General features: G+C 41.0%; 1 long non-coding RNA gene across 3 annotated transcripts; it reads right to left on the bottom strand.

Moving 5' to 3' along the window:
* Positions 1–295: 295 nt before the first annotated feature.
* On the bottom strand, positions 296–12504 carry LOC105370838 (uncharacterized). Of its 3 annotated transcripts, none has more exons than XR_932307.2 (3): positions 12170–12504; positions 5953–6085; positions 296–583 (listed from the first exon to the last, which is right to left on the bottom strand). It is a non-coding gene; the product is annotated as an uncharacterized LOC105370838 (long non-coding RNA). The 3 variants fall into 3 exon arrangements; XR_932308.2 differs by lacking the exon at positions 12170–12504 and adding an exon at positions 11825–12160; XR_932309.1 differs by lacking the exon at positions 12170–12504 and adding an exon at positions 10557–10644.
* Between the last annotated feature and the right edge of the window lie 1046 nt (positions 12505–13550).

Below are 13550 nucleotides of genomic sequence, written 5' to 3'. Positions count from 1 at the left end.
AATGGTTACTAACTTGCTGGAGGACAGGGTAGAAAATAGCTGATGAATAAAAATAGTGCTGTCTGCCTTTGACAAAACTTTTACCCAATTGAGCCAGCAAGATTTTCATGAAGAAAATCTGAGAAATTAATTAATTAACTGTAACTGAATTTCACCTCTTTAACCTTAACTCGTGAGCAAACCTGAGCTAAATAAACATCTGACCATTCGATCTCTTTCACTTAAGGTTAACTTGAGTTTATTATTCAGGCTACTGCCCTTGTGTATTAGGCAACGCATAAATTACGCATACTAATTACCCTGGATGGGGCACCACTTTAATGAATTCTTTTAATTAAACTGCAACACGGTGGTTTTGCACAGGATGGTCTATATTTCATCCTTAAACTGTGTTAATCTTCATCTTTGTCTGGGCGGCTCAAACATCCAACCGGAGAAGGTCTGAGTTTAATTCATCTAAGTATATACATTCCACAACCCCCACTCCTTGACCGTCATAGGAAAATTTGAAAGACGTTTCTCTTCTGCTTTAAGGTTAAGAAATTAGATGCCTCTGTGAAAAGTTATGATTCTGCTGGGGATACTGAGATGGAAAAGAAAAAGACAAAAACTGAAATGACAGAATCAACCAGCACAACACTGCAGTCTTTAAAATATAAATAATAAAAGGAATTAACAATGTTCTTATTAATATGTAAACTAAACAAAGGACATACTTCACTTTGCAATCTGTATATTCCTGAGTTTACAGCAAATAATCCTTACCATCAGTCCAGTTTTCAAGGATACAATCAGTTCTCTATTATCTGGAACACTTAATGGATACAGCAGTAAAGAAGATTGAAACCAATGCATATTTTAGCCATGAGTATACATCTTCTCTTGTCTTTTTACTAAGCTCCTGCTTCTAGGTAGGAAAATTGACTGCCTTGAGTTTTATCTCCCTGGTATCTGATTGGGGGTTGTGGGGAGAGGAAACAGTTGAGGTACTATCTAGATCCCAGGTAACTTCACTCCCTTGGGTAGTTCAGCTGGGAGAGCAGAGGCCCCAGTTCAAGTCAATATATGTTAATTGATCACCTATTGTAGTTTTAGCCCTGTGTCTGTGCCAGAATATCATGGTGATTGAGAATTGTTCTATGTATGTTATTTTTTAAAGAAAAAGGAATGCATTTCTGTATTTATATTTGTACTTACCTAGATGAATTCAGGAAGATGCACAAAAAACTTTTGGGAGAGTTTGCTTCTGAGAAATATTAAAGGTCTTTGTTGGGAGAGAAAAGCACTTATTCTACATCCTTCTCCTTTTCCTCTTCCCTCTTTTTTTTTTTTTTTTATCATGAGCATGTAATCCTTTATCATTTAAAACTTTGAAACAATAAAAATAACTAGGGAGTTCATAGTTCACTCAGGGAGAAAAGCACATACAATGTAATATATTAATAGCAAGTGCTGTGAAAGGTGAACACACAAACTCTTCTACAGACACAGAGGTGGGATCATCTAATAGTGTCTGGTGGAGTCAGGGAAGACTCCTTAGAGGAGGTGGCATTTAAGTTGGGTTTTGAAGCATGAGTGTGAGAGTTTTTCAGGTTAAGACTCAGCCATTGAGTAATGGGAAGAGGAAGATAGCATAAGATGATTCCATCCACCCAAGATTATTCTCTCTTAGAAATCCTGTTAGTAGATATGCTACTCTAGGGCTTTCCTGGTGACATGTAGAAATAGCGTTTGAATGGGTACAAAAAAGTTAGAAAGAATGAATAAGGCGTACTATATCATAGCACAACAGGGTGACTATCGTCAATAATAATGTAACTTTACATTTTTAAATAACTTAAACAGTGTGACTGGATTGTTTGCAACTCAATGGATAAATGCTTGAGGGGATAAATACCCCATTCTCCGTGATGTTCTGATATACTTATTTCACATTGCATGCCTGTATCAAAACATCTCATGTACCCCATAAATATATATACCTACTATGTACCCACAAAAATTAAAAATAAGACTAGCATTTGAATCATTCTGATTTCTGACAAGGTGATTGGGAGTGATACATTGTAGATAATCTAAAAAAAAATTTGTTCACTCTGGAAAATAATTGGACATGCCTGAAATCCAAACTTCATAGTTTTTCCAAAAGTTCCTGAAAAATTTTCACCAATCCCTAACTTAACCTAAAATTTGTACAAAAGCAACTAACCTGGAGGTAGGATATAACTGATCTTCGTTTTGTTGAGAAAGATAAGGAAAATGTGGCATTTTTTAAATCAGCAAAGCCTAGCTATTAAAACCTTTCATTACATTCGGAAATGGTATCCCCGCCTTCACCTTGTAGCCACAATAGAGGAAGAATAGGGAAAGTAAAGACCATGGTGGTCTCAAATTCCATAGTTTGCCATTGATGGAGTTCTCTGGGGCACCACATTTCCTTATGATGAAGCTATTAAGGATCCCCTGATATCAGCTGGGTGGTTCCAAGCCAGGCAAAGGAACCCAGCCTCCCAAGCACAGAGCAACAAGTCCTAGAAAGAGGGATTTGGTAGAACTTGGCTTGGCTCTCCAGGCCTCTTAGAGACCCCTCGTGCATATGTAACAACCAGGGGAAGAGGCAAGCTGATTTATCTCATCTCTACCCTGACGCTGGTATGATCAATACCTTTCAGTTATTTACTGAGCCAGGGCTGTATGCCAGATGCAGAAAATGCAAAGATGGATGTTGCATGGTTCCTGCTCTCCAATAGCTCACAGGGAAAAGAGAGTCAGAGACAATCCACTGTAATACGGAGGAATGAATGTATTTCTCTAGCCAAAGCCAAGCACAGAGCTGGGAACCAGGACTCTTCCCTATGAAACTGGGAAGATTTCTCAGCCTGAAGACTCCTGAGTACAGTGCAAATATACCTTTAAAATGGAATCTATTCGAAGTCTTAACCGACGTTTTCATTATTTTAGACGAAAGAAGCAGAAGAAAGGCTGATGTGCATAGGTGGAATATAATTTAAAGGCAGAATTCTACAATGGATAGATGGCTAAACCCAAAGAAAAATTTTTCTCTCCCCTGACACTCAGCACATTCAGGAAGCCCCATAGTTTGTTAAACAATCTATGACAAAAACTAGGCTCCAGAATGAATTTTTTGTGATGACAATAGTGGCTCCTGAGACAGACAACTCAGGTCCCCTTTGGATGTGCTGTGTGACATTGGATAAGTCATGTAGCCTCTCTGATTCTCATCTTCTTCATCTGTAAAACTTGGATAATAATAGGACCTACATCACAGGGTTGTTGATGGGGATTACATGAGATAATGGATGCAAGGTGCTTAGCAAAGTGATAGGCCCCAAGTGAGTAATCAGGAAGTGTTAGCTGTTATCATAATTAGTATGAGTAAGGCAACTACATCTTAGAATGCTAAACAAGAGCATTTCTAAACCCGAGGGTTTTATGGCCAAACCACCAGAAATGACTGTAGGAGTCTTCTCCATTTAAATGGGCATGTGAAACTGCAAAAGCTGAACACACACACACACACACACACACACACACACACACATTTATTTCGGTTTGGAAACCAAATTACTGTTACCGAGGACCTATGTGAAAGACCTGGGATGAATCCTTTAACAACCAAATGCGACTTTTATTGACTTACTTAAAAGCAGAGAGTGTCAGTCCTTTCTGGCCCTGATAAATTCCTCAGAAATGACGTGTATTTCACACAGAAGGTGAGTGCATGTTGGTGTTCAGGTGTGCCCGTGAGTAGAGGGCATATCTCAAGTATCAAGAGCACCAGCACTGGAGAAAAAGGTCCTGGCCCCAGGAAGGCACAGTCAGGCCCTCTGGAGGCAGCCACCTGGGGCTGCCGACTCCCCTGGAGTGACTCCAGGACTCAGCGCCAGTGCGCTCCGCTTTGATCCTTTTGTGTTCCCAGGGCTTCCCAGGTGGCGTTTCTGCTCCAGGCTGTCTACACACAGAGTGTCTTCAGGCTGTCCTCTGCAGGAGCATATGCTGTGACTTACCATCTGGCCTTTATGCAGCTCTCCAGTGGCCATGGTATGAAAACCTGCCTGTTTGGCAGCTACAAGTGCCCACAGTCTCTTTGGTCTCTTTCTTGGTCTGAGTGTTTTTCAACATCAATGGATGTAATTAAGAAGAACTCAATCAAGCACATGGACTCAGGAGTCCATTATGACCAGGAAGGGAGCTCTGCCTTGGGAGAGGAGCTGCTTGGGGCGGGCCAGCCTTGGGCTCTGGGGCAAATGGAGTGCCTGTGGCAGTGGGCCTGGCACACTCATTTACAGCTAAACGCAGTGGCCCATTGCACAGGCTCAAAGCTCAGCTCTAGACGGAAGCTTGGAGCATTGTCATGCTCACTGACAGCCAGAGCCTGGCTGAGGGGAGCACAGGCAGCTTGCTGATGAGAGTGTGTGTGTGTGTGTGTGTGTGTGTGTGTGTGTGTGTGTGTGTCTTGGCTCTACTCAATGGGCAGAACACTAGAACTGCTCAAATCCAAGGGTCAGCATTATTTATGTTGTTGCTCTTTGAACAGAGAAAGAATTACCAGTTGCTGGATGGCAGTTATTTCCAGAAGGTATGGAGGGGGATGCCAAAAGCCATCTCCAGAGAGTTGAAATTAAAAGATAAAATTTGAATGTATAAATCACTGAATATACATACAATGGAATTCTAGGCAGCTAAAGAAAAGGCTGGGGAAATTCTTTACGTACTGATATGGAAAGAACCCCAAAATGGGTTAAATGAAGAAATCAATAAAACCTCTTCTACTATTTGCATAATAAGGTTGATAAGGTTGGGGGTGAGATGGTTGTGTTTGTACTGGCTCATATATGGATAATAGCGTCTGGAAGGATATAGGAAAAACTAATAACCGTGGTTATCTATGTTGGGAAGAGAGGAAGAACATGAGCAGATGGGGAATTGCATGGGAATTTTTACTGTATACTTTTATATACAGTCATGCATCGCTTAATGACAAAGATACCTTCTGAGAAATGTGTCACTAGGTTATTTGGTTGTGCAAACATCATAGAGTGACTTACACAAACCTAGATAGCATAGCCTACTACACACCTAGGCTATACACTATAGCCTACTGCTCCTAGGCTACAAACCTCTATATATAGCATGTTACCTCTATAGCCACTACCGGTCCATGGCCTCTTAGGAACTGGGCTGCACAACAGGAGGTGAATGGTGGGCGAGTGAGCATTACCGCCTGAGCTCCATCTCCTATCAGATCAGCGGTAGCTTAAATTTTCATAGGAGCACGAACCCTGTTGTGAACTGCGCATGCAGGGATCTAGGTTGCGCGCCTTATGAGAATCTAATGCCGGATGAAAACATCTCCCACCCCCATCCGTAGAAAAATTGTCTTCCACGAAATCGGTCCCTGATGCCAAATATGTTGGGGACTGCTGGTGTAAAAGATAAAAAATGGCACACCTGGATAGGGCACTTATCATGAATGAAGCTTGCAAGAGTGGAAGTTGTGGCCAAGCACGGTGGCTCACGCCTGTAATCCCAACACTTTGGGAGGTCGAGGTGGGCGGATCACAACCACAAGACTATCCTGGCCAATATGGGGAAACCCCGTCTCTACTAAAAAATCAAAAATTAGCCAGGCATGGTGGTGCGTGCCTGCAGTCCCAGCTACTAGTAGGGCTGAGGCAGGAGAATTGCTTGAACCTGGGAGGCGGAGGTTGCAGTGAGCTGAGATCATGCCATTGCGCTCCAGCCTGGGCAACAGAGACTCTGTCTCAAGAGTGGAAGTTGCTCTGGGTGAGTCAATGAGTGAATAGTGGGTGAACGTAAAGGCCTAGGACATTACTGTACACTACTGTAGACTCTATAAACACTGTACACTTAGGCTACACTATATTTATTAAAAATATTATTTTCAATCATAAATTGATTTTAGCTTACTCAAAGTTTTTACTTTATAAGCTTTACCCCAGCTACTCAGGAAGCTGAGGCAGAAGGATCATCTGAGTCCGCAGGAGGATTGCTTGAATCCAGGAGTTCGAGTCCAGCCAGCACAACATGGCAAGAACCATCTCTAAAAAGCAAAACAAAACAAACCACTTAATTGTTTTAAACTTTCTGACCCTTTTGTAACAACATTTAGCTTAAAACACAAACACTTTGGATAGCTGTACAAAAGTATTTTCTTTTTTTATATGCTTGTTCTATAAGCTTTTTTACTATGTTTAAAAATGTTTTAATTTTTACTTTGTAAACTTTTTTGGTAAAAACAAAGACACAGACATACACATTAGGCCTACACAAGTTCAGGATCATCAATATCACTGTCTTCCACCTCTACATCTTGTCACATTAGAAGGTCTTCAGGGACAATAACACACATGAAGATGTCCTCTCCTATTATAGCAATGACTTCTTCTGGAACACCTCCAAAAGGACCTGCCTGAGCTGTTTTACAGTTAAACTTTTTAATATATAAGTAGAAGCAGTGCACTCTAAAGTAACAATAGAAACTATAGTAAATATATAAACCTGTAACATAGTCATTTATTAGCACTATAAGGTACTACGTATTGTACATAATTGTGTGTGCTCTATGTTTATTTAACTGACAGTATAGTTGGTGTGTTTACACAAGTATCACTACAAACACATGAGTAATGTGTTGTGCTATGACGTTATGATGGCTACATCACTAGGCAAAAGGAATTTGTCAACTCCATTATAATCTTATGGTACCACTGTCTACGTGATCCAACACTGATCAAAAGATTGTTATGCTGTGCATGACTATAATTTAACCTAATTTTAAAATGTATTGCCCCTTTTAAAATTAAATAAATTTTAATGTGTTTAAAAGTTTTCAAGGTGACATTCTAAAATATTGACAAGCGAGGGGAGATTGCATACTAGTAGATTTAGAAATACATTTTTATTAGTTTCTGTGCACATCTCTCCACATGATTAAAGCCATTTGATTGCTAATAATATTCTCCATAACTTATTATCATATGATAGAGTAACTCACACATTGCTTTTTCACATTGAGCATTTTTATATTAAGAAACTAAAATAAATATAAGTTGCATTAATTAACAAATTCCAGGTTTGGATGTGGTTATGTGCTAATAACTAGAAGGCAGCATTAAGCGTTTGCCCTTTTTTCTATTGAATCAGCTAACATTTATTGGACAAGTGTCATGTGCTGTTGACATTTTGCTCTAGAATCCAGTTTCCACTGTATGGAACTCTGTATGTGTAGAATAATGCATGGTATATCCAGACAGGAATAGGTTTGGTTCAGGAAGTTTTCTGACAGATTATTTACTTCTCTGGTTTGTCCAGAAAGAATATCATTTGGTGCCTGCATGTTAAACTGTTTTTGTTTTTCTAACAATACACACGGGCATCAGGAAGATGACCAAGGTGCTGCTATTGACAAACTAGTAGAATCACAGATATTCATGTTCTCTCTTTCTCTCTCTCTCTCACACACACACAAAATACAGAAATTTAACCACAGAGCTTTTTGTAATAAATCCATTTCCACTTCTCTAAGAAACTATGAAAATATTTACTGTAGTGGCATTGCACTGTGTAAATGTAACTAAACCGAAACTCATTTCCCCATGATTCCTTTCCCCACAGGGCTCCAGGTTTGCATGAGCCACAAGAGAAACTTGCCTGAAATTTGGAAGACAGCAGTGAGGCAGCATTAATTTTCAGTCTTTGAGGGCTGGTTTAGGGTGCCATGCACTATAGTGACTTGCACAAGTTGTCACTGATCTGCTAGCTCACCTTGTGGGTATGGGTGTGGGTTGTAATTGGGCTCACAGCTCCTCTGGCTCCCACCGGATTTCCTCTCTCAGTTTTTCCACGTCCTGGGCCAGATATGTGTGCAGCTCCATGGCACAATATACTAGCTTTCCCTGCAAGTCACCCACATTATGAAGGATGGAGGCCCAGAGAGACAGATACAGGTTCCAATACATCTTCCTGGGTTCCAATTTGCCCTTTTCTCCTCTACTTCATACCAAGACTTCTTTCCCAATTGCCAACTTAGCTGAGTATGTCAACCTCAGACCCAACATCAGACATAGTGGTCACAATCTTGAATAGACTTCTGTACTTGCTCCTACAATTGCATGAGGTCGAATCCCCATAATAAACGCTTTATTCTATAGCTCTCATAGTGTTTCTGTTTCTCTAGTTTAACTCTGATTGATATGCTTCCCCAAAACGTCCAGAGACATGTCTTAGTCTTACCATTGCTAAGAGCACAGAATACCTAGGCATCAGTATCTCCACTTTGTAAGTAAAAAAGTGGGTTCCACAAAGAAAGTAAGCATCAAGGCTGAGAATCTCTCTGTATTAGTCAATTCTCACACTGCTATAAAAAAATACCTAAGACTGGGTAATTTATAAAGAAAAGAGGTTTAATTGGCTCATGGCTCTGCAGGCCAGCTCCTGCTCAGCTTCTGGCGAGGCCTCACGAAACATACAGTCATAGCAGAAGGCAAAGGGGAAGCGGGTATATCTTGCATGGCCCGAGCAGAGGGAAGACAGAGCAAGAGGACAGGTGCCACACACTTTTAAACAATCAGATTTCCTGAGAACTCTATCATGAGAACAGCACCAAAGAGATGGTGCTAAACCATTCATGAAGCATCCACCCACATGATCCAATTACCTCCCACCAGGCCCCACCTCCAACACTGGGGATTACAATTGAACATGAGATTTGGGTGGAGACACAGATCCAAACCATGTCACTATCTAACTTCAAAATCCATACTCTTTCTGCCAATACAATATTGCCTTGGCTTCCAAAGTAAGAGGAGAGCATAGAGCAAAAGAACATTGTCATAATATCTGAAAAATCAGCCTTCAGAATAGATTAAAGAAAACATCCCCAGCCTCTAACTGAGAGCACTGGGGCTCAAGATGGCATTTGCATTGTGATAAAAGACAAACATCAAGAATAAAAATGCTTTGCACATTCTGGGGAGATGGAGGACATTAGCCTTATAACATTTTAGCTATTTTGAATGAATGCAAGGATGAGTATTAGCCATATGTTGTTCAATACCATGAACTAAAATTTGGATTCATTCTATGCAATGCCAAAAAGTCTTCTTTTTTCTTTTTTTTTTTGAGATAGAGTCTCGCTCTGTCACCCAGGCTGGAGTGCAGTGGCACAATTTCAGCTCATTGCAACCTCTGCCTCCTGGATTCAAGCCATTCTCCTGCCTTAGCCTTCTGAGTATCTGGGATTACAGGTGCACACCACCATGCCCGGCTAATTTTTGTATTTTTTAGTACAGACAGAGTTTTGCCATGTTGGCCAGGCTGGTCTCGAACTCCTGACCTCAAGTGATCTGCCCACCTCAGCCTCCTAAAGTGCTGGGATTACAGGCATGAGCCACTAGGCCCAGCCAAAAAGTCTTCTATAACAATATTTATAAATATCCCCAAAGACTGTTTTAGAATGTGATGGTTAATTTAATAGTGTCAACTTGATTGTGCCGCAAGGTGCTTAGATTCAACATTATTTCTGAGTGTGTCTGTGAGGTTGTTTCCAAATAAAATTAGCATTTGAATTGGTAGACTCAATAAAGTAGATAGCCCTCCCCAAGCTGGGCTGGCATCATCCAATCCATTGAGGGACTGAGTAGAACAAAAAAGTGGAGGAAAAAGGAATGTACCCCCCTTTTTTTTCTATCTACCTGCATGAGCTGGGATGTCGATCTTCTACTGCCCTTGAGCTGAGACTTACACTATGAGCTCCCCTGGTTCTTCGACCTTCTTTATCTGACTGGAATTAGACCACCAGGCTTCCTGGGTCTCCAGTTTGCTGATAGCAGGTGGCACATCATGGGATTTCTCAGCCTCCATAATCACATGAACTAATTCCTCATTGTAAATCTCTCTCTCTCCCTCTCTCTCTCTTACCACACACACACACACACACATACAATTGGAGATTATATATATGTGTATGTGTGTGTTTGTATGTGTATATCCTGTTCAATCTGTTTCTTTGGAGAACTCTAATACAGAGAGTATTATGTGATGTTAGGAAATGCAGATTGTGGACAGCCTTTTGCTGGTTCCAGCTTTCCTTCCTGGGCATGCATATATAGAGGTAATGCTTACACTCTCCATTGGGTTACTCTAAAAATTGCCTCTATCCAAAATTGCTAGAAAATGTTATTTTCAAATCTAAATGATGGCTACAGAAAATGCAAGTCGCTGACAACTGAAAGCATACAGCAGAAGGAGAAATTCTCAATGTCATTTATTAGTTGAAAGGTAGCAGGGAAAGTATTAACAGAGAGCAGGTCAGTTTGGGAATGAGAAATTTCTGGAAAGCCCTACGCTAATTCACATCTTGGGACAGAAGAGGCTGTAAATCAATATAGCAGAGAATTTTAAGTTGGGCCTGTTTGAGACAAAGGGTGCCATCGTTGTCGTAGTCTGCTCAGGCTGCTAGAGCAAAATACCACAGGCAGGGTGGCTTGAACAACAGATACTTATTTTCTTACAGTTTTGGAAGCTGGAAGCCTGTGATCAAGGTGATAGCTTATTCAGTTGTTACAGAGGGCTCTCTTCCTGGCTTGTAGACAGCCACCTTCTCTCTGTGTGCTCACACGGCCTTTCCTCAATGTGTGTGTCTGGAAAGTGAGAGAAAGAGCCAGCTCTCTGATGTCTCTTTTTATAAGGACACTAATCCTATCAGATCAGGGCCCCACCGTTGTGATCTCATTTCACCTTAATTACTTCTGCAGAGGGAGGATTCAACCTTGATTGTAGGTCACCAGTAAACAAGGGTAAATGAAAAGACCTTCAGATTTTAGCTTTGTGCTTGAACTTCTTCTATTTTGTCTTTCACAGCAGCATCTCAAAATTTGCCAACATGCTCAGGTTGTAACCCTTCTGGTTAAAGAAATAAGTCCTGCTTTACCTTAATAGGCAATTAGCTTTGACAATCAAATAGAGAGAGTCGTGATTAATGACCTTGCTAATTGTTCTTCCTGATGTGCACACTAATACAAGCAGAATGCTCAGAATTCTCAGGAACATTCATTCTTTGAGTTTGCCATGCTTTATCATTGTGGATCCAAAGCTGAGACAGACATAAACTTAGCCCCCTGGGAGATCAGAATCTAGTACAAAAAAGTGTGTGAACAGATATACTACAACAAGGTAGCGATCTTGTCAATTTTCCTATGTCTGGCACAGCACTGACATAATGTACACCTTGGCCAGTTAATTACCAATGACCCCAGCAGGACGGCAAGCAAGAAAACATGCAGGAGAGATTCTGAATGCATAGCATGACAGTATTCAAGGATGTTGTCAAAGCTGGGCAAAATGTTCAAACTATGCAAGCCAAGTAGAAGCCAGAACTTTACTCTAAAAGAAACTGGAACAATATTCCCAATTGTCGAGTTAATTGTTTTTGTATAAAGAAATCCTACCTGGGCCGGGCACAGTGGCTCACGCCTGTAATCCCAGCACTTTGGGAGGCCGAGACGGGCGGATCACCTGAGGTCATGAGTTCAAGACCAGCCTAACCAACATGGAGAAACCCCATCTCTACTAAAAATACAACATTAGCCGGGAGTGGTGATGGATGCCTGTAATCCCAGCTACTATGGTGGCTAAGGCAGGAGAATCGCTTGAACCTTGGAGGCAGAGGTTGTGGTGAGCCAAGATTGCAACACTGCACTCCAGCCTGGGCAACAACAGCAAAACTCCATCTCAAAACAAAAAAGAAAAGAAAAGAAAAGAAAAAACCAAGAAATCTTACGTGTTCTTTAGGAGCCAACTCCTCCATTAAGCGTCTTCTGATTCTGGCAGCTGGAAGTGGTCATTTGCCCTTAGAACACTCTAGAACTGTGTTTCACTCACCTGCTGTTTGTCATTCAATGCCTTCTTACATACCTAAAAGCTATATGTCAGAACTGTAGCATGTCAGACTAGAAAGCTCTCAGAGAGATCCTGTGGTTTTGCTTCCTCCATCTACAGATGGGGAAACTGAGGCCCATCCAAGGAACATTCAGTAAGAGATTAGGCCTTTCTGAAGTGGTGGCAATTAACCACAGACTTAAAGGAGGTAGAAGGAGTTAGTGCAATGCTCAGAGAGGACTTGTACCTGCACAGTCTGAGAAGACTTCATATCTAGGAGGCTCTGTTAGCTGCAGCAAAGTGTAAGGAGAGTGACCAGGGATAAGGTCAGAGAGAGGGTGGTGGTGGGTTCAGATCCTGAAGGGCCTGTTGGCTTACAGAGTCATTCACGCTGAGGGAAATGCGAAACATTGCAAGAATTGTTTAAAAATCAGCTTTAGTGAGGTATAATTTACATAGAGTAAAATTCACCAGTTTTAAGTGTATAATTTGATAGATTTTAACGACTGCATAGACTTGAGTAACCATCACTACCACAATCAAGATATAGAACACCCACCTCAGAAGTGGGTGTTCCAAAGTTCCAAAGTTCCGTACCACCCCTTTGAGGTCATCCCTGTCTCCACTTCCAGCTCTTGGCAACCACTGATCTGATTTCCGTTCCTATATTTTGCCTTTCACGAAATGTCATGTAAATGAAGTCACAGATATGTAACCTATTGTAGCTGATTTCTGTTACTTAGAACTAAGCTTTTAAGATTCATACAAGTGTTGCATATATCAGTCATTTTTTTTTTTATATATATATTGCTGAGAAGTATTTTGTTAAAAGGATGTAGCAGTTTGTTTAACCATTCACTAGCTGAAGAACATTTGGACTATTTCCAGTTTGGGACCATTATAAATAAAGCTACTATAAACACTTATATATGGGATCTTATGCCATTATTATTTTTCTTGGGTAAATCCCAAGGAGTGGAATTTTGGATCATTCGGTAAGGGTATATTAAACTTCATAAAAACTACCCAATTATTTTACAAAGTGGATGTCCATTTTTTTTTTTTTTCTTGAGACGGAGTTTCACTCTTGTTGCCCAGGCTGGAGTGCAATGGCACGAACACGGCTCACTGCAACCTCTGCCTCCTGGGTTCAAGTGATTCTCCTGCCTCAGCCTCCCAAGTAGCTGGGATTACAGGCATGCACCACCAGGCCCAACTAACTGTATTTTTAGTAGAGACGGGGTTTCACCATGTTGGTCAGGCTGGTCTCGAACTCCTGACCCCAGGTGATCTGCCCGCCTCAGCCTCCCAAAATGCTGGGATTACAAGCGTGAGCCACCACGCCCGACCAGTGGATGTCCATTTTCTATTCTCATCAGCACTGTATGAGAGTTCCAGTAGTCCTGTATCCTCATCAATACTTGGTATTGCCAGGTTTTAGCCACGTTAATTAACGTGGCTTAATGGTAAGTCTTTGAAATCAAGCAATTTCTAATTTGCATTTCCCTAATAAGTAATGTTTTTTAGCACATGTCTTTTAAGTGCTTATTTGCCATTCACAATATCTTCCTTAATGAAGTGTCTGTTCAAATCTTCTGCTCATTTTTTTAGTCTCTTATTATTGAGTT

This window comes from Homo sapiens, chromosome 15 (genome assembly GCF_000001405.40).
Source record: "Homo sapiens chromosome 15, GRCh38.p14 Primary Assembly".
NCBI classification, from domain to species: Eukaryota; Metazoa; Chordata; class Mammalia; order Primates; family Hominidae; genus Homo; species Homo sapiens.
Note: the sequence above shows the minus strand (reverse complement) of the source record. Positions and strands in the feature narration are given on the sequence as shown.